This window comes from Homo sapiens, chromosome 4 (genome assembly GCF_000001405.40).
Source record: "Homo sapiens chromosome 4, GRCh38.p14 Primary Assembly".
Lineage (NCBI taxonomy): Eukaryota > Metazoa > Chordata > Mammalia > Primates > Hominidae > Homo > Homo sapiens.
The window spans coordinates 73,921,962-73,942,908 of record NC_000004.12 but is presented as its reverse complement, the minus strand read 5'-3'; the positions used below and the strand labels follow the sequence as shown (position 1 = coordinate 73,942,908).

At 35.2% G+C, this 20,947-nt stretch overlaps 1 pseudogene; it reads left to right on the top strand.

Annotated features, from left to right (window-relative positions):
- Window positions 3,280-4,635, top strand: HNRNPA1P55 (heterogeneous nuclear ribonucleoprotein A1 pseudogene 55; annotated as a pseudogene).

Sequence of the window (20,947 nt, the reverse complement as noted above, 5' to 3'; positions counted from 1 at the left end):
AGAATGTGTTTCTTTTACCTTTCCAGCTTCCGAAGGCTATCTGCATTCCTTGCCTTATAGCTCCCTTTCTGCATCTCCCTACATCTCCATTGCTTAGGTTCTTCACATCTTTCTTTCTGTCCCTTTGTTCTGTCACATTGCCTTCTGTCTAACTCTGACTCCTCCTGCATCTTTTCTATAACAACATTGTGATGATATCTGGCCCACTCAGGATAATTGGGGATAAAATTCTCATCTCAAGATTCTTAATTTCATCATTTCTGCAAAGTCCTTTTTACAATATAAGGCGATGAATTTACTGGTTCTTGGGATTAGGACAATGACATCTTTAGTGGGCCATTATTCAACCTACCACAAGGTTTTGAAAGTCAGTCTTCGAAGCACATTTTGTAGGCTAAAAAGACATGTACATATTATAGAAAAGAAATCTGAAATTGTGGGAGGAACTAAAATGGTACCACCTCTGGCTAGTTTTCAATAAATGCAACTATTGTTAATGTTTCTGAATTAAAGAAAAGAAGACTTAGGTATTTTCTCCACACTGGAGAGCTTCAAACCAAACCAAAAAAGATTCATTACATAACTGGAGGGAAGGCATGAATGACCAGAAGAACAAGAGGAAGGTCTGGGTGGAAAACTTTGAGAGGGTCCCTGGATCAATGTTTATCTTTGGTACTCTAGCCCACTGTCATTTATATCAATGTATTATTGGAGCAAGTCGTAATAGCAAAAGTGAGTACCACATTAAATTCTCTGTGAAAATTTGGAGTGCAAGCAGACCTCCATTTAGGTCATCAAGGTAGCGGGTGGCAGATAGGGTTATTTGAGGGAATGGTCACCAGATGATGAGGGCAGAAAACAGATGTTCTCTGTATTCAAAGATCAGTCTTAGAACAGTGTGACACAGCATGACCTGTGACTTTGAGAGGCAGACAACAATGTCAACAGTACCTGAGACTTTTGGGGCAAATAAACTACAAGAGAAAAAGAGGAATGATGGATGACCCCACTCTGTTATTACGATTCCTTATTTGAGAATTATCCTGAAATCTCCTGTTAGAGATTTCCAGAAACTGGTGGGATGTGAGAGATACAGAGATGGAGCTTCTGCAATAGCCAGTTTGGGCAATGTTTCCTCTGCTGGAATATCAAAGTTATAAGACAGGAGTTCATTTGTACTAGATTTCCCATGAAGACCGAGACAAAGGCTTATGTGGCTATACCAATTCTAAGTCCGCAAGCCCACATCAGGGGCCTTATCTTTAGCTGAGTGTATGGTATCCCTGTGGAAATATTTTATCCTCTGCCTTAAGATTGATAGTGACAGGTGACTGGGTTGTGCCTTTTGCTTTCAATAGTCTGATGGGGAAACATATGATGATCTGGGGAGTGATAAACAGATTAAATGGACCTGGTCTCATAGCAGCAAGTCAGAGCACATAGAAGTCTGCTCTGTGGGCAAGAAACAAATACAAGTCCACCTAATCTACTCCCTGACAGAACTATTCAAATACAAAACAAGAAAGAGAATCAAGATTTTGAACATTAGTCCAGGAGTTTTGCAAAAAATGATGACATGAACCACCAGGCATAGTTGTCTTTGTGCATATTCTAGAACCACAGTTTCCTTCTGCTTCTCAGGATTCTTCTCTGACCCTTCACTATAACCACTGCTGTGTGGACCAGAGGAAAGTTATGGACATCATAGCCAAACATGCTCGGAATAAGCATGGAATAAGTGTGGAATAAAAATCTCTACCACATCTTGTGACCTTGCCAAATGACTTACCTCCTCTGAGTTTGAATTTCCTCATCTGTAAAATAAAAATAACCCTTGTTGGGTTGTTGTAAGGTTTCAAGTTAATTCACAAAAAGTATATAGAATAGTACTGATACAAAGCAATACTCTGCAAATGGTTATTATTAGCACAGTTTATAGTGTCATGAAGGAAAATTTTTTAAAAATCTCAAGACCCCCAAACTCCTTATGCCAAAATGAAAGTTAAGCCTGGAAGCTGAGTCATGCAACACCTTCTTCCAAGTGAATAACTGTTGCTAACATAATGCATTAGCCAGATCTCCACAGAAAGGTAAAAGGTCTCAGGTCTGAAACTAAAGTCTGTTTCAAGTCCACAGATTCCACACTGAGCAGATTACAAGATTATGTTCCCAGATGAAGAACAAAGACAAGAGGAGATTGATCTTTCCCCCACCTCCCCAGAGATGTTTGCATAATTGATTCTTCCTTTACTCTATTTTTTTTCTTCAAACATTCCCCTTATCTTAAGTAAAATGTAGATTTACTGGGCACTAACTAAAGTCTCACAATAATGTAACAATTTGCCATACTGCCTACCTGCCCTTCTTCCTACATGCCTTCCCCCGTTTAAGGAAATGTATAAATACTAAACCTCCTAAAAACGTCTTCAGATGTTTGTCATGTGTGTTTTTCCTGACCACACCTTGTGCACCATTCTTGCATTGTTATAAAGAAATATCAGAGACTGGGTAATTTATAAAGAAAAGACATTAAATTAGCTCACGATGATGATTACACAAGAAGTGTGATGCTGGCATCTACTTTTGGTGAGGAAGCCTCAGGAAGCTTACAATCATGAGCCTCAGGAAGCTTACAATCATGGTAGAAGGCAAAGGGGGACCCAACATACCTCATGGTGAGAGTGGGAGCAAGAAAGAGAGCAAGTGAGAAGATACCACACACTTTTAAACAGCAAAATCTCAGGACAACTCACTCACTTTTGTGAGAAAAGCACCAAGCCATGAAGAATCTACCCCAATGACCCAAACTACTACTCCCACCAGGCCCCACCTCCAACACTGGGGATTGCATTTCAACATGAGATCTGGGGGGACAAGTATCCAAACTATTAACATATCAGTGTCCTAAAGCTGGCTTCATAAATCTTGATTGATTGAGATATTTGCCTCAGTCACTCATTTTGGTTATCAGTACCTGTCAGAATAAGTAATTATTTTTGAGAAGGGAGATACAAGGTAGTTCTAACGGAGTATTTAATGTGATTTAAAAATTTGTATTGTCCTTAGAGCAGCTGGAAGATTATGGTTATGCAGTAAGTTATTTGAAACAAACCTGAGAATCTGATAATCTTGGAATTTAAAGAGTCTAGAATTCATTACAAATTAAATCTATTAAATCTATTATCAATCTGGTATTGGGTCAACATTCTTAAAATAGATACCTGTATTTGAAAACCTAATCACAATCTTTTTGACAAATTCAACAATAACTGCCATTAACTCCTAAATCAGCCTGTGGATGCCACCAAAGAAGCAGCATTAAAGTCTCTCTTCTCCCTGCTGTTACATCTAAGTCAGAGTCTCCTAAAGAACCCGAACAGCTGAGGAAGCTCTTCATTGGAGGGTTGAGCTTTGAAACAACTGATGAGAGCCTAAGGAGCCATTTTGAGCAAAGGAGAACGCTCACGGACTGTGCGGTAATGAGAGATCCAAACACAAAGTGCTCCAAGGGCTTTGGGTTCGTCACATATGCCACTATGGAGGAGGTGGATGCAGCCATGAATGCAAGGCCATGCAAGGAGGATGGAAGAGTTATAAAACCAAAGAGAGCTGTCTAAGGGAAGATTCTCAAAGACCAGGTGCCCACTTATCTGTGAAAAAGATATTTGTTGGTGGCATTAAAGAAGACACTGAAGAACATCACCTAAGAGATTATTTTGAACAGTATGAGAAAATTGAAGTGATTGAAATCATGACTGACTGAGGCAGTGGCAAGAAAAGAGGCTTTGCCTTTGTAACCTTTGACGACCATGACTCCGTGGATAAGACTGTCATTCAGAAATACCACACTGTGAATGGCCACAGCTGTGAAGCTAGGAAAGCCCTGTCAAAGCAAGAGGTGGCTAGTGCTTCCTCTAGCCAAAGAGGCGAAGTGGTTCTGGAAACTTTGGTGGTGGTCATGGAGGTGGTTTCGGTGGAAATGACAACTTTGGTCATGGAGAAAACTTCAGGGGTCATAGTAGCTTTGGTGGCAGCCACGGTGGTAGTGGATATGGTGGCAGTGGGGATGACTATAGTGGATTTGGTAATGATGGAAGCAATTTTGGAGGTGGTGGAAGCTACAATGATTTTGGCAATTACAGCAATCAGTCTTCAAATTTTGGACCCATGAAGGGAGGAAACTTTGGAGGTGGAAGCTCTGACCCCTATGGGGGTGGAGGCCAATACTTGGCCAAACCACAAAACCAAGGTGGCTATGGCGGTTCCAGTAGCAGCAGTAGCTATGGCAATGGCAGAAGATTTTAATTAGGGAACAAAGCTTAGCTGGAGAGGAGAGCCAGAGAAGTGACAGGGAAGCTTCAGGTTATAACAGATTTGTGAACTCAGTCAAGCACAGTGGTGGCAAGGTCTAGCTGCTACAAAGAAGACATGTTTTAGACAAATACTCATGTGTATGGGCAAAAATAGGACTGTATTTGTGACTAACTGTATAACAGGTTATTTTAGTTTCTGTTCTGTGCAAAGTGTAAAGCATTCCAACAAAGGGTTTTAATGTAGATTTTTTTTTGCACCCATGCTGTTGATTGCTAAATGTAATAGTCTGATCATGACGCTGAATAAATGTCTTTTTTTTAAAAAAAATCCTAAATTAATGTGAAGTTAGATAATATTTTTTAAGACACTTTTATCTCATGTTTGTATACTTATTTTCTATTATCATCATGATAGCACTGATAACACACAATTTGATCATTTCTACCTTGTGCATAGAGAATAATGACTCAAAGAGATTAAGATAGTGTCTGATCCTGGCTAACATGGTGAAACTCTGCCTCTATTAAAAATACAAGAAATTAGCCAGGCGTGGTGGCAGGTGCCTGTAGTCCCTTGGGAGACTGAGGCAGGAGGATGGCTTGAAACCGGGAGACGGAGCTTGCAGTGAGCTGAGATTGCTCCATTGCACCCCAGCCTGGGCGACAGAGTGACTCTGTCTCAAAAACAAAACAAAACAAAAGATAGTGTCTGAATAGTGTTTCTGATTCATTGAGTTTTTGCTTGACATAAAGACCAAGAAGTCAGCAATCAGTGGAATGTTAAAAAGTCATTCAATCATATTGTATGTTGAGACTTTTCTTTCATATGCCATTTTCTGTCTCAAAACTTTACCTCTTGGAGTATGCTTCTGTTTGCAATGTCCTTCAGGTTTTTCTCTGTATGCTGAGCTTTTATGCATTTTTTTTGATACAACTCAGTGATATCTTCCACGTGAAAGCAAATGAGATACTCTGATTTTTGAAGCTATGTATAAAGTGGCACTGTATCTACAATTCTATTAATTATTGCTTTAAAGGGTTTGATATGTTGATAAAGGAAAAAATGCATTCAGTATAATGTAACCAAGGTCATTTAACAGAATAATAAACAGAATTTGAGTTCATACTCCATTTTTAGTAATTCAGTTTTAAGAGCTGTGAAGCTGAATATACTGCTCCTGACTGCAATAAGTTAATTTATTCTGAATTCTATTTCCTTAATAGCCTATCAATAGATGGAAGATTCCATTAATACCTTAAATATGATCATTCAAATTGACATAAAATGAAAACATAAGTTAAAGCATATTAATTTCCTGCTTAGTACTAACTTGGATTTTAAAAAGATACAGACTTTTTTATGACAGCACATTTTAAATAATTATTAACTGCAGATGTCATTGGATCCTTCAAAATTGCATAGTTCCACCTCCAGGAAATAAAAAGGCAAACAGTTCATATCTTTATCAACAGATTTATTACATTCTACACTTCCCATTCCTCCCAAATAAAACAAACTGGAAAACTAAATTCTACTTTCTTATTGGCTTGTAACTGACAAACATCACTTTGATAAGTTTCTCCTTTCATTCTTCAACAAAAAGGGAGAAGACAACAAAATTGCTCTTGAGATTGTGGTGGCTGAGAAACACTATAGTCCTGAGTCTACCAAGGTCTGAAATCAGAAATGTCTACTGAGATCTCACATTCTTTGGCTATCTGCCCTTACAAAGTTTGTCCTTTTCTTTCATCCATTTAACATTACATAAAAGAGAAACCAGGTCTAAAGAGATGTTTTTTGGCTTTAAGCAAAACAAAAGCTGTGAAATATCTAAAATTAAACTAGGACATGCATGCAGTTTGTCAAGTGTCAAAGAAGCCCAGATAGAGGCAGAACAAATTTATTTAACTTGAAATTCTGATTAAAGGGTCTGTACTTCTCTTTCTGAAGGGTAAAGGGGAGATGATGGTAGTAATATTATTTCAAGTCAATCTAGGGTGTTTATTTTAATATTAGTTAGCAGATGGAATTATTACATTCAACTGAAATCTTACATCAAATTATACCGATAAATTTTCGCTGGACTCAAGCAGTTCTTTTATACTTATGTAGTTATGGTTTTGATTACAATTACAACCTTAAGGAGTGGATATTTGCTCTTTTATGCCTAACACTATTTCATAGTAGCAGCTCAATAAATTCATATTGATTATGATATTGGCAAATAATTGGTATTCTGTGATTTCTCCATGACTATTTCTATTAATGTTGAATTCTTAATCCAATATTGTGGCCAGCTACATTGATTTGAAATAGTAAATTAAGGGTTAGGCAATATGGCTGTCTTTATCTTCATTCAGATTTTTCTGTACTTACCTCACATAGCTGATGCTTCTGAGAGCTAAGAGTTGCAATATCAATATATTTGGAATATGATTTTTTAAATTTTTTTCTATACTCATTAAAAATGTCCAGTTGATACTTGAAGCTTCTTGCTGTAGCTGAAAAGAAATAATGTAAGTAGGAATTATGAGGGGAAAGTAATAGTCTCTAGTAGTAGTTTTCAGAGATGAAGTTCTTGCAAAATTTACCAGACTAACAATATAGGAGACAAGGGTTTGGGCATTATTCTTACATGGTGAAGGAAAAAAATCACTATCTTCAAGATTCTATTCTAGTAACTTCTTCTTCTTCAAAAAAAAGTATCTGACATTGGAGCATGAGTAAGGCATAAACTGAAATGTGTAGATTGATTTTTGAAGTCAATGAACATCTATAATAAGCAATGACACATACTAGCATTAAAAATACTTTGATAATGCTAGATTATTGGGAAGTCTTTTATATACTTGGACAAAGAACATTCAAAAGTTGCAATATAATGTAGCAGGTTTAAAAAGTTTTTTAAGTTGCACAATATGTCATAGATGTATAAGATTGTATAGAAACATATACTATATAAAAACATGAATAGATGTTTTATATAAATAATATTTAATATTAAAGATTGTATAAAACATGTATATGCATATGTATACTATTTGCATGTGTGCCTATATACATATATACACACAGACAAAGGTTTAGGAAGAGTAACAAAATAAACCACTATGCCCATTTCCATGTTTAAGATATGAACATTAGCAGGATACTGGAAGTACTCTCTGTACCCATTCCAAATCTCATCTTTCTCCTTTCCTGTCACACTCCTTGCACCTTAACCCTTAACTTGAACTCAGTGTCAGTCATTCCCACTTATTGTAGTGCTTAACATCTATAAGTAAAATCCTAAACAATTGATTATTAATTTTATTTGTTTTGAACTTTGGAAAAATGAGCTGATGCTACACAGATATGACCTAATTTTGTCATTTAGGAACTTGTTTGTGAATTTCATATAGGATGATTTATTTCAGTCAATGACTGCTATTACATTTTGTGGCAACACAAATACTTATCTGGTCCACTGCTGTGTGGAAATTTGAGTTGCTTACAGTTTTGCTAATACTAGTAACATAGCTCTCAACATTTTTTGTGCTGAGCCCTGGGTATATAAGTCCTAGAGATACTTTAGGATATATATGTAGGAGTGGAATTACTGGCTCATATGGCATGCATATATTCAACTTTACCAAATCATAAAAAATTATTTTTAAAATGATTGTACTCATTTACCACACCCACTAGCAATTCATGAAAGTTTCTTTCCTCCACTCACTGGCCATCCCTTGAAATTTTCAGACTTCTGAAATTGTTGCTAAATGACTCTATAATGGTATCATATAGTGATTTTAATTTGCTTTTTTCCTTATTATAAATGAAGGTGAATATCTTTTCACATTTATGAACCATTTGTAGTTGGTCCTCTGTGAAACTTCTGTTTCTTTTGTCCACTTGTTCTGTTGTGCTATTAGCCTTTTCATAAAAGCTTTAAAAAATTTTGGATGGTAATCATTTGTCACTTACATATGTGGCACAAAGTTATCTCTGCAGTGTGTTTTAAAGTGAATTTTCTATAATATAATTTTTTCTCTTACGGCTGATCTTTTCTCAGAATCATAAAATATTCTACATTGTCTTCTAAAAATTAAGTAGATTTGTCTTTCTTACTTAGAACTTTAATCTACTCAGAATTGATTTTTCTCTATAATGTGAGGTAGAAGTTTAATTTTATTTTTTATATGATTACAAATTGGTGCAGTATCATGTGTTGAAATGTTAATCATTTTTCAATCTCTGTCATAAATCAAGATTTCTTATATGTGTAGTTTGTTTCTAGACTTTGTTTTTTTCTCATTGGTCAGTATGTCATATCTACATGAGTGCTATACTATCCTAATCACTATATTATTATAAAATTTCTTGATAACTGAAAAGGCAAGTCTCCCAAAATTGTTTTTCTTCTTTAGGAGTCACTGATCTCTTCTCAGTTCTTTGATATACACCTTAGAATTACTTTGTCAATATGTAACTTTTGAATTCAACTTTATTGACTTTATAGATCAGTTTTGGGAGAGACAGTTGATGCAAGTTTAAGATATTAACATTTTATGGTATAGCCCATAAATTAAGGTCTTTAATATTAAAAAATGTTTCTCCTTGTACATTGTTTATCTTGTTTCTAGAGACTTTTGTATTTGGCCACTATTGTAAATAGTGTCTTGAAGACTGTGTTTTCTGGTTTTTGTATCTAATTTTTATACTCATCAGTATTCTAGTAGTGTAAATTATTTTGCATTTTCTACATAGACAATTATGCAATCTACTACTAATGGCAGTTTTTTGTTTTCACCTATTATCAATTTTTATATATTTTTCTAGCCTCACTGTACTGATTAAAATTTTTAGTACATGTTTGAAGGGAAGTGTTGATAGCAGACACTCTTGTTTTGTTCTTAAGAAACTGTCCAAACATTTACCACTAAGTATAATATTTATTTTAGGTTAATATTTATATTATTTTATATATTTTATATAATATTTATATTATTTTAGGTTAATATTTATTTGAGGTTGAGAAAATTACCTGCTATTAATAATTTCTTGAGCTTTCTTTTTATATCATAAATCAACATAGAATTTTATTATTTTTAAATCTTGGAGTTTCCACTCCTAAAGAAAGTTGAGGTGGCCATGTCTGCACTTAATGAGCGTCTAAAGAATCCTGAAAATTCAGGTAGAGCCCTGTAGTCTGTGAATAGCAGTTGAAAACTTCAGCATCAATTTAAATGGGCACTTAAACAGGAACACAGAATACTTTCCTTTTGATTTGGACAATGTATGCTTTCCCCACCTAATTATAAATGATATCTTAATGAGACTCTGAAGGCCAAACAAGCAAAAACTGCCTAAAAAGAGTGTTAGAGATAGAATGCTAAATAATATATAATAAACATTCTATGGGGACAGCTTGGGAGATGCACATGTAGATTACTAAACCTAACACAGAACCTTGTACATAGTAACAAATGTTTTCTGATTTGTTTATTGCTGGAAAAAGTTTTATCATACTTTAAAACAGACATTATTCATAGTCAATGGTAGAAAGTGTGGTAGTGCACACAGAACATTGTATTCTAAATATATAGTTAGAGTAATATTTGACACAAGTTTATTTTGAAATACATGTATTTTACAGTTGTTAAAAACAATAAATAATATTAAATCACCTTAGAATTTTATAAGAACCATTTATTAACAGGTGGTATCCCCAGTTTTAATTATCAAAATAGTCTCCTTTCCAGAATCACATTGAAAGATGAAAAATTAGTTTTCCTGAGGCTCTTAAGGATGTATGAGTGATGATCATTACCAAAAAGATTAATGATAAGTACAGTACATGTCAAAATGTCTTGATAATAATTTTTTTCTTTTAACTAGATTGACATTTAAACAAAAGCTCTGTTGTAGATTTAAATGAATTGAATCCATACTTATTACATAACGAGGTAGGATATTCAAAGTGACCTATGCTATAATTATCCTTACTATACATATATATGACAACAATGGTTGTATGTTGTCTTATACAGATCAAACATAGGCCTATTAACTTAAAGAAATTTTTTCCAAAATCTTTGGTGGAAATTCTGTATCTCCAATATAGTGTTGCCAGAAGCTCACCTCCAGGCAGAGTCAACAAATCATTGGGTAGAAATGAGATAACAAGAGAAAACTCTGGAACAAAGATTGAAGTGTAAGTAAGTACTTGGGAGGTGCAAGGAAGGCCAGCAGGGAAGTAGATGGGAATAATATAAAGATGGGAATGCCACTAATAAAAGTGCACTAGTAAGCTAGCTGCCCTGCCACTGTGGGCCATCAGCTGAGCTCCTGCAGCAGGTCTTGTCGGAGGAAAATCTGAGTGAAGTGCCTTCATGGCTGCCAGAGACAACAAGTCTCATATTTGGGAATCTCAACAAACTACATACAGAACAAATAAAAACAATTCAACACCTTGTCTCCTCATAGTAAAACATCAGAATACAGAGGACAAGGAGAAGATCTTAAATTAATGTAATCTGCTATGGGTGAGTGCTCTAGGGAAGAGGTGTGGACAAAGCCAGTTCATCCAGTCTTTGGATAGTATATTTAATAACATTATTTGTGCTTTACAAAACTGAATTGATTTGGATTTTTTAATAAAATAAATGCAAATAACATGTCTTTTCAGAGCTTATTTAGTCTAGTCTCACACCGCTAATTAAAGACATACCTGAGACTGGATAATTTGTAAAGGAAAGAGGTTTAATTGACCCACAGTTCAGCATAGCTGGGGTGGCCTCAGGAACTTACAATCTTGGTGGAAGGGGAAGCAAACATGTCCTTCACATGGTGGTGTCAAGAAGAAATGCCAAGCAAAAGGGGGAAAGCCCTTATAAAATCATCAGCTCTCCTGAGAACTCACTCACTCTCAAGAAAACAGCAGCATGGAACCATAATTCAATTACTTCCCACCAGGTCCCTTCCATGACACATGGGGATTATGTGAATTACAATTCAAGATGAGATTCGAGTGGGGACACAACCAAACTACATCAGTCAGAAACCCCATTTTGAGATGATGTTTATATTTCCAGAGGACTAGAGTGAGAGCAAGGGTTAGTAGTTTATCCATTGATTTATTTTGGAGTTTCCCCTCCTTCTTGTGGTCTAATTCTATATACCTAATGACTATCAGTTCTAACATTATCTCACCATGATTTCAAAAACTTAAACTCAAGAGAATATTCACCATATAACATCCTAGACACACTGAGAAATATTATGCCTGTATCATCCTTAGCAATGATCTCCTCCTATTTGTGTGGCATTGTAGGAAGCCTGTACATAATTAATAGTTAAAATGCAGATGCAGACATGTTCAATTCACAGATCAGAACTTTGTTAGCTAGGTGACTTTGATCAAGTTATTTAACTGCTTATAATTTAGGTTTCCTCATTGCTTCTCTGTGAAATTGTATGCCCTAGTTAGATCAGATCACTACTTGGTTCCCTGAAATGACTATTTTCTGTTTTGGCTTGGGGCCTTCCACATGCCATTCCCTGTAATTGGAAAATGTTTTACCTCCTCTCCAACACTTAGCCCGTTCATCTGGCTTATTTTTACTGAATCTTCAGCTCTTAATTTGTAAATCACTTCCTTCAAGAGACATTTCCTGAGCCCTTCAAGTATTCATTAGCTAATGAAGCATCATAATAACAATTATCTCATTTTTACTATGATGTGCTAGTAAAAGGAAATGAAAAAAGAGAAATCAACTAGCCTGCTCAAGGTTATAAAACCTGTTAATGGCAGAACCAAGCCATGATGCCAGGATTGTTATCTCCGTTCTCTTCCATTATTTCTATCTCAGTTATCAGTACTTAGCTCCACCCTGGCTACACTCAGCCTCTATGGAATGTTGAGACATAAAGCCCCCAGAAAGAGACCCTCTGTGTATGCCTGGGTGAAGCACATTTCTTCCCCATGAAACTAACGTGAAGAAATTCATCAGGCCATCTAAGACATCCTGATGCTGATCCTTGCCAGCAGCTCTGACAGCTTCCCTTTACTGGAACATCAGCTACTATAATGTTAATCTGGACCAATGCCTGTCTGCTCCACTTTCTTCTTGCTGCCAATGTTAACATGCAACCACTGTAATTTAGTTAGCTCTCCCTAAAGTTCACATGGGGAGCCTACTCTTCCTCTGTATTTCCATTTTGCTTTATAAACAATTCACTCAGCTGCCTAAGCCAGGGAGGAACCTAAGTTTCATCATAGATTGAGCCTGTCTCTCTTTTCTGCTCCAGCTAGAACTCCACCTGGGCTTTAGATCCTGCCATTTTGTCCTTTTAACAACTCTCATGACTCTTCCTCTCCCTTCCCCATGCAATTGCCTTAAATCTGGCATTCACCTGACTATTGATATAACTTCTTAACAAGTCTCCCTAGTTCCAGTCATCTGTATCCTTCGATCAATACTTTTTTAACTTTTATTTTAAATTCAGGGGTGTATGTACGGGTTTGTTAAGTAGGTCAACTTATTTCATGGGGGGTTGTTGTACAGATTATTTCATCACCCAGGTATAAAGCCTAGTACCTGTCAGTTATTTTTCCTGATCCTCTTCCCCCTCCCACCCTCCACCCTCCTTGAGGACCCAGTGTGTGTTGTTCCTCTTCATGTGTTCATGTGTTCTCATCGTTTAGCTCCCACTTACAAGTGAGAACATGTGGTATTTGGTTTTCTGTTCCTGTGTTAGTTTGATAACAAAAATGGCCTCCAGTTCCTTCCACATCCCTTCAAAGGACACGATCTCATTCTTTGTTATGGCTGCATAGTATTCCATAGTGTGTATGTACCACACTTTTTTTATCCAGTCTATTATTGATGGCAGTTTAGGTTGATTCCATGTCTTTGTTATTGTGAATAGCACTGCAATGAACATATGCATTCCTGTGTCTTTATAACCGAACGATTTATATTTCTTTGGGTGTATATTCAATAACGGGATTGCTGGGTTGAATGGTATTTCTGTCTTTAGGACTTTGATGAATTGCCACAGTGTCTTTCACATGCCAGGACTGGTATCCATTTTCTTCCATTATTTCTGTCTCAGTAGTACCTAGTTCCACCCTGGTTACACTCAGCCTCTATGGAATGCTGAGACATAAAGCCTCCAGAAAGACATCCCCTTTGTGTGCCTGGGTGAAGCACATTTCTTTCCCATGGCACACTAATTAATCAGGCCATCTAAGACATCCTGACTGCTGCTCCTTGCTAGCAGTGTATAAGCATTTATACATGAAAGTATAATTTACACCCCCACCAACAGCGTATAAGCATTCCCTTTTCTCCACAACATCACCAGCATCTGTTATTTTTTGACTTTTCAAGAATAATCATTCTGATGGTGTGAGAAAGTATCTCATTGTGGTTTTGATTTGCATTTCTCTAATGGTCAGTGATGTTCAGCTTTTTTTTCATGTGATTGTTGGCCACATGTATGCCTTGTTTTGAAAAGTGTTCACGTCCTTTGCCCATTTTTTAAGGGAGTTGTTACTTTTTTGTAAATATGTTTAAGTTCCTTATAGATACTGGATATTAGACCTTTATCCAATGCATAGTTTGCAGAAACATTCTCTCATTCTGTATGTTGTTTGTTTATTCTGTTCATAGTTTCTTTTGCTGTGCAGAAGCTCTTTATTTTAGTTAGATGCTATTTGTTGATTTTTGCTTTGGGTGCAATTGCTTTTGGCATTTTTATCATGAAATCTTTGCTCATGTCTATGTCCTGAATGGTATTGCCTAGGTTGTCTTCCAAGGTTTTATAGTTTGGGGTTTTACATTTAAGTCTTCAATCTATCTTGAGTTAATTTTTGTATATGGTATAAGGAAGTAGTCCAGTTTCAATGTGCTGCATATGGCTAGTCAGTTATCCCAGCGCCATTTATTAAATAGGGAATCCTTTTCACATTGATTGCTCTTGTCAAGTTTGTCAAAGATCAGGTGGTTATAAGTGTATAATCTTATTTCTGGGTTCTCTATTCTGTTCAATTGGTCTATGTGTCTGTTTTTGTACCAGTACTCTGCTGTTTTGGTTTCTGCAGCCTTGTAACATAGTTTGAAGTCAAGTACCATGATGCCTTCCATTTCATTCTCTTTGCTTACAATTGCTTTGGCAATTTCAGCTCTCTTTTGGTTTCATATCTATTTTAAAATAATTTTTTCTAGCTCTGTGAGAATGTCAATGATAGTTTAATAGGAATAGCATTGAATCTATAAATTGTTTTGGGCAATATGGCCATTTTAACGGTATTCCTTTTTCCTATCATTAGCATGCAATGTTTTTCCATTTGTGCCATCTCTGATTTCCTTGAGCAGTGGCTAGTAGCTCTTCTTGTAGAGAGTTTTCACTTTTCTAATTAGCTGCATTCTTAGGTATTTTATTCTTTTTGTGGCAACTGTGAATGGGAGTTTCTTTCTGATTTGGCTATTGGCTTGATTGTTGTTGGTGTATAAGAGCGCTAGTGACTTTTTCACATTGATTTTGTATCCTGAGATGTTGCAGGAGTTGTTTATCAGCTTAAGAAACTTTTGGGAAGAGACTATGGGTTTTTCTAGATATAAGATCATGTTATCTGCAAGTGGGCATAATTTGACTTCCTCCCTTCCCATTTGGATGCCCTTTATTTTTTTCTCTTGCCCAGTTGCCCTGGCCAGGACGTTCAATACTATGTTGAATAGGAGTGGTGAGGGACAGCACCCTTCTCCTGTGCCTGTGCCAGTGTTCAAGGGGAATGCTTCCAGCTTTTGTCCATTCAGTGTGATATTGACTGTGGGTTTGTCATATATGGCTCTGATTATTTTGAGATATGTTCCTTCAATACCTAGTTTATTGAGAGTTTTTAACAAGAATGGATGTTGAATTTTATCGGAAGCCTTCTCTGCTTCTATTGAGATAATCATGTGGTTTTTGTCTTTAGTTCTGTTTATATTATAAATCACATTTATTGATTTGCATATGTTGAACCAACCTTGCATACCAAGGATAGAGCCTAATTGGTCGTGGTGGATAAGCTCTTTGTTGTGCTGCTAGATTCAATTTGCCGGTATTTTGTTGAGAACATTTGCATCAATGTTCATCAAGGATATTGGCATAAAGTTTTCTTTTTTTTTTTTCTTGTATCTCTGTCAGGCTTTGGTGTCAGGATGATGCTGGCCTCATAGAATGAGTTAGAGAGAAGTCCCTTCTCCTCAATTGTTAGGAATCGTTTCAGTAGGAATGGTACCAGCTCTTCTTTACATGTGGTCAAATTAGTTGTAAATCCATTTGGTCCTGGGGTTTTTTTAGTTGGTATTCTATTTATTACTGTCTCAATTTCAGAGCCCAGTATTGGTCTGTTCAGGGATTCAGTTTCTTCCTGGTTCAGTCTTGGTGTATGTGTCCAATAATTTATCTATTTCTTTTAGATTTTCTAGTTTATGTGCATAAAGATGTTCATAATATTCTCTGATAGTTGTTTGTATTTCTGGGAGGTCAGTGGTAATATCCCCTTTGTCATTTCTGACTGTGGGTATTTGAATCTTCCCTCTTTTCTTCTTTATTAGTCTAGCTAGCAGTCTATATACTTTATTAATTTTGTCAAAAAATACAGCTTCTGGATTTGTTGATCTTCTGAATGGTTTTTCATGCCTCAATCTCCTTCAGTTCAGCTCTGATTTTGGTTATTTTTTGTCTTCTGCTAGCTTTGGGACTGATTTACATTTGGTTCTCTAGGTTTTTTAGTTGTGATTTTAGGTTGCTAACTTGAGATCTTTCTAACTTTTTGATGTGGGCATTTGGTGCTGTTACTTTCCCTCTTAACACTGCCTTAGCTGTGTCCCAGACATTCTGATTTGTTGAATCTTTGTTCGCAGTAGTTTCAATGAATTTCTTGATTTCTGTCTTAATTTTACAATTTACTCAAAAGTCATTCAGGGGCACGTTTTTCATTTTCCTTGTAATCGTTATGAGTGAATTTCTTAGTCTTGATTTCTAATTTAATTGTGTTGTGTTCTGAGTGACTCTTTGTTATGACTTCAGTTCTTACTTCCAATTATCTGATCAGTTTTACAGTATGTGCCACGTGGCAATGAGAAAAATGTATATTCTGTTGCTTTGGGGTGGACAGTTCTGTAGGTATCTATCAGGTCCATTTGATTCAGTGCTGGGTTTAGGTCCTGAATAGCTTTGCTAATTTTTTCTCAATGATCTGTCTAATATTGTCAGTGGAGTATTAACGTCTCCCACTATTATTGTGTGGAAGTCTAAGTCTCTTTGAAGGTCTCTAACAACTTGCTTTATGAGTCTGGGTGCTCTTGTGTTCAGTGCATCTATCTTTAGAATAGTTATATCTACTTGTTAAATTGAACCCTTTACTATTTTGTAATGCCCTTGTCTTTTTTGACCTTTGTTGGTTTAAAGTCTGTTTTATCAGAAACTAGGATTGCAACCCCTGCTTTTTTCTGTTTTCCATTTGCTTGGCAGATTTTTCCTCTATGCCTTTATTTTGAGCCTATGTGTGTTATCAGATGTGAGATCAGTCTCTTGAAGATAGCATACCAAAAGGTCTTGGTTCTTTATCCAGTTTGCCACTCTGTGTCTTTTAATTGGGACATTTAGACAATTTATATTTAAGGTTAGTATTGATATGTTTGGATTTGATCCTGTCATCATGATGTTAGCTGGTTATTTTGCAGACTTATTTATGTGGTTGCTTTATAGAAAATGCCTCAGCATTTGCTTGTCTGAAAAAGACATTATTTCTCTTTTGCTTATGAAGCTTAGTTTGGCTGGATATGAATTTCTGGGTTAGAATTTCTTTTCTTTAAAAGTGTTGATTATTGCCCCCCAATCTTATTCACTGCAAAGTGATTCCATTAAAACACAAACCTAATTAGGTTACCTTTCTGCCTTGGGAGTCTTCAATGGTTCTGTATCATCTACAGCAAATACCACTGGGCATGAGTAACGTATTAGTTTGCTTGATAACAAAGTACCACACACTGAGTGACTTAAAAACATAAATTTATTTTCATACAATTCTGGAGGCTAGAAGTCAAAGATCAAGGTGTCAGCTGAGTTTTTTTTTCCCAAACATTTCTAGACATTAAGAGAGTATATACATGGTTATAAAAAGTCACTTAGTCTGGAGTATATTGAAATCAAATTTATTTGTATATGATAGATTCAAAATATGTAATATATAAAATATCATAAATAAGTCCAAGAAGAAATATATAAATATTTCATTAGAAAATTTTAACATATATTTTTAAATAATTGATAATTTATGCAGAAAAGACATTAAGATACAGACTATTAAAAAGCACAATTAATACATTCCATGCAATGGATATATCTGTATATATGTTTTTACATATATATCGATATATATGTATATATGTATATACATGTATCGATACATATACACATATATATCGATATATATACACATATACATATATATGTAAAAACATATATACATGATATATATATCAATATATGTAAAAACATATATACATGATATATATATCAATATATACATATCCATTGCATGAAATGTATTAATTGTGCTTTTTATGTATATGTATGTATATTAATATATATCTCCACATACTCAATTTTCAATAGCTACAGAGTATATTCTTTTCTTAAAAAAGCCCACTTTATTGAGGTGTAACTGATATACAAAAAGAAAAATAACAAACAGTTAAGGAGGAAATTTTTGGAAGTAATGGATAGGTTCATGGCAAAGATTATGGTGATAGTTTCAGAGAACATAGTATTTTCAAGAAGACATGGACCATTTATGAAAGCTGACCACATATTTAGATAGAAGGCAAGACTCAAAAATACTTTTCGATGTTTGTTGTGATACACACAATGATCTGTGATTATTGTGTGAATAAGTTAGGTATCAACCACAAAACTGTACTTTAGAAAAAAACTCAACAATACTGAAAGCAACATATATTTGGAAATTAATAAAATCACTTCTAAATAACTCAAAAATCAGAAAATCAGAAAATACATAAAAACTTATTAGAAAATATATAGAATCAACTGATAATTTTGCCGTATGTTGAACACATGAGACCTAGGTAATGTAGGGACATTTACAGCTTTAAAATGCTATGCTAGAAAATGAACTTAAAATATCTAAATTAAATAAAAAGACAAAGAGAAGGAACTAGATATAAGAGTAGAAATTTATGAAATTGGAAACACACATTCAATAGAAAGGATCACCAAAACCAAGAGTTGGTTGTTGAATAGATTTTGGTGTGATTGGTCAAGACTGCAGACATTACAAAGTTAACAAGAAGATGTTATCATTTGGTGGCGATTAATGTGAAAATAGGTAAAATGGACAAATTTGTAGAAACATATAACAGTAAATTAAAGAGGAAATATTATATTTAAATAAACCTGTAACCTTTAATAAAGTTGAATTAATACTTACAATATTTCCTACCCAAGAAATGCACAAAACCAGCCATTTTTAATAGGGAAGTCTACCAAATATTCAGGAAAAAAAATTCAAACTTACAGAAATTATTTCACAGTGTCAAAATTTAGATCCCTTTCTGACTTACTACATAAGGCTGACATATTCCTGATAATAAAACCTGACAAGAGCTATTTCTGAAAGGAATTTTTCAGGTGAATCACAATATGACTATAAATGTAAAAGTTCTTTAAAAATAAAGGATTAGAAAACTGAAAATTAGAAGTTTAAAAAATACATCAAGGGATACAAGATTGACTCAATATAGGAAAGTCAATCAATATAATTCACTAAGTTGAAATGTCAATGAAAAAATATAAGAACTCGTTAAATATTCAATATAATTATCAGGGTTTATTTTACTACATAGTATATATAATACTTCTCAATGGTAAAAATCAGCTATTACAATATGATGCCATTTTGCAAAAATATGTTTATTGAAAAGTAATATGATCTAGGAATGGAAGCCAAAATTCTAATTCTAGGATTTGATAAATAGGACTTTTCTAAGTCTGTCACAAGGTGGCCCCAAATCCATATTCTTCATGGCTCTGCATTTGTGGAAAATGAATCAAACAGCAAAAAGAAGGTAATACAGCAAAAATCTAAGGTAATAATAATCCAGTGTATACATAGCCCACTTAATAATCAATTGTCCACTTGGCTAAAAGAAGAGAGAAAAGCAATCTTATTACATTTGAAATGAGGAAGGAAGCTGATAAATGCATCAAGGCATTTTTCTTCAAGATTAGTCTCAACAAAAGTAATAAATAATCCTTTTGACATTCAGTATTTCGATGAGCACACAGGCTAGTAATATGCAGGCTTGGCTGAGAAAAATCTGTGATCTTTACCTTTTCCCTCTTTTCTATTAACAATTATTTAGTTTTTGACCTTGCCTGAGTACTTGTAAAACAGTTTCAGAACTGTCTTCTTTTTTCTGTTCTACTTGCCATACAAAGAAAAACTGTAGATTATAAATCATGTAAGATCCTGTCAGGAAAGCCTCTGATTAAAAGTCTTATACAAAATCATGACTAATTAATTCATTTCTTCTTCCTTCCTCTTATCTCAGAATCCTTGAAGTCTTAAGATGGCACCACAAAAATTTCTTTTCAGACAGTGAGAAATTCTTTCAAGGCTGGGTAACACAATGCTAGAAAAAATGCCTGGCTATTGACTGCAACTGATAGACAATATTTGAATAAATAGTAAAACAATTAGTACAGAAGATTGATATTTTAGTTTAACTTAATTGTGGTATAGCTTGGACAAGTCACTTCAAGATAATAATATTTTATTCTTGTGGTTTTTTGAGAATTAAGTGAGATAGCAGGTACGGTTCTGAATACTGTTCCTGGCACATGGAAGAAACTTAATGCTACTTTTGGCCATTGTCAATGCTTTCATTCAGAATACAATGGAATAATGAAAATAATTACTTGTCAATGGAAAGAGCTAAACATATCCCTGCTTATATTCTCAACTGATTCTGAATTGGGCTTCATATACCAGCTCTAAATGGTATCTTCCAAATCTGTTTGTTTTTGTGAAGGAAAGGGTAGTCAGAAGTGATAGACAGCCTGACTTATCTTGAAACAGCACAGCCTGGAATTTAGTAGGGTGTTCTGAGTATACCTTAGCAAAAAATATAGAAAACTATGATTTTTGAGTGAGTTCATAGATTTTTAAAAGTAAATGAGAGAGGCTTGATTTGATTGTGCACTGTCTACTATGAATTTTATATTTGTCTCAGGGAAAGGAAGCAGAAATGGCACAATTGTTGAACTTAGTAATCTTCAAAAAAGTCTCTTCTGCTTCTGCCTGGTAAATAAGAAGGTAAAGGGCCGGGCGCGGTGGCTCACGCCTGTAATCCCAGCACTTTGGGAGGCCGAGGCGGGTGGATCATGAGATCAGGAGATCGAGACCATCCTGGCTAACAAGGTGAAACCCCGTCTCTACTAAAAATACAAAAAATTAGCCGGGCGCGGTGGCGGGCGCCTGTAGTCCCAGCTACTCGGGAGGCTGAGGCAGGAGAATGGCGTGAACCCGGGACGCGGAGCTTGCAGTGAGCCGAGATTGCGCCACTGCAGTCCG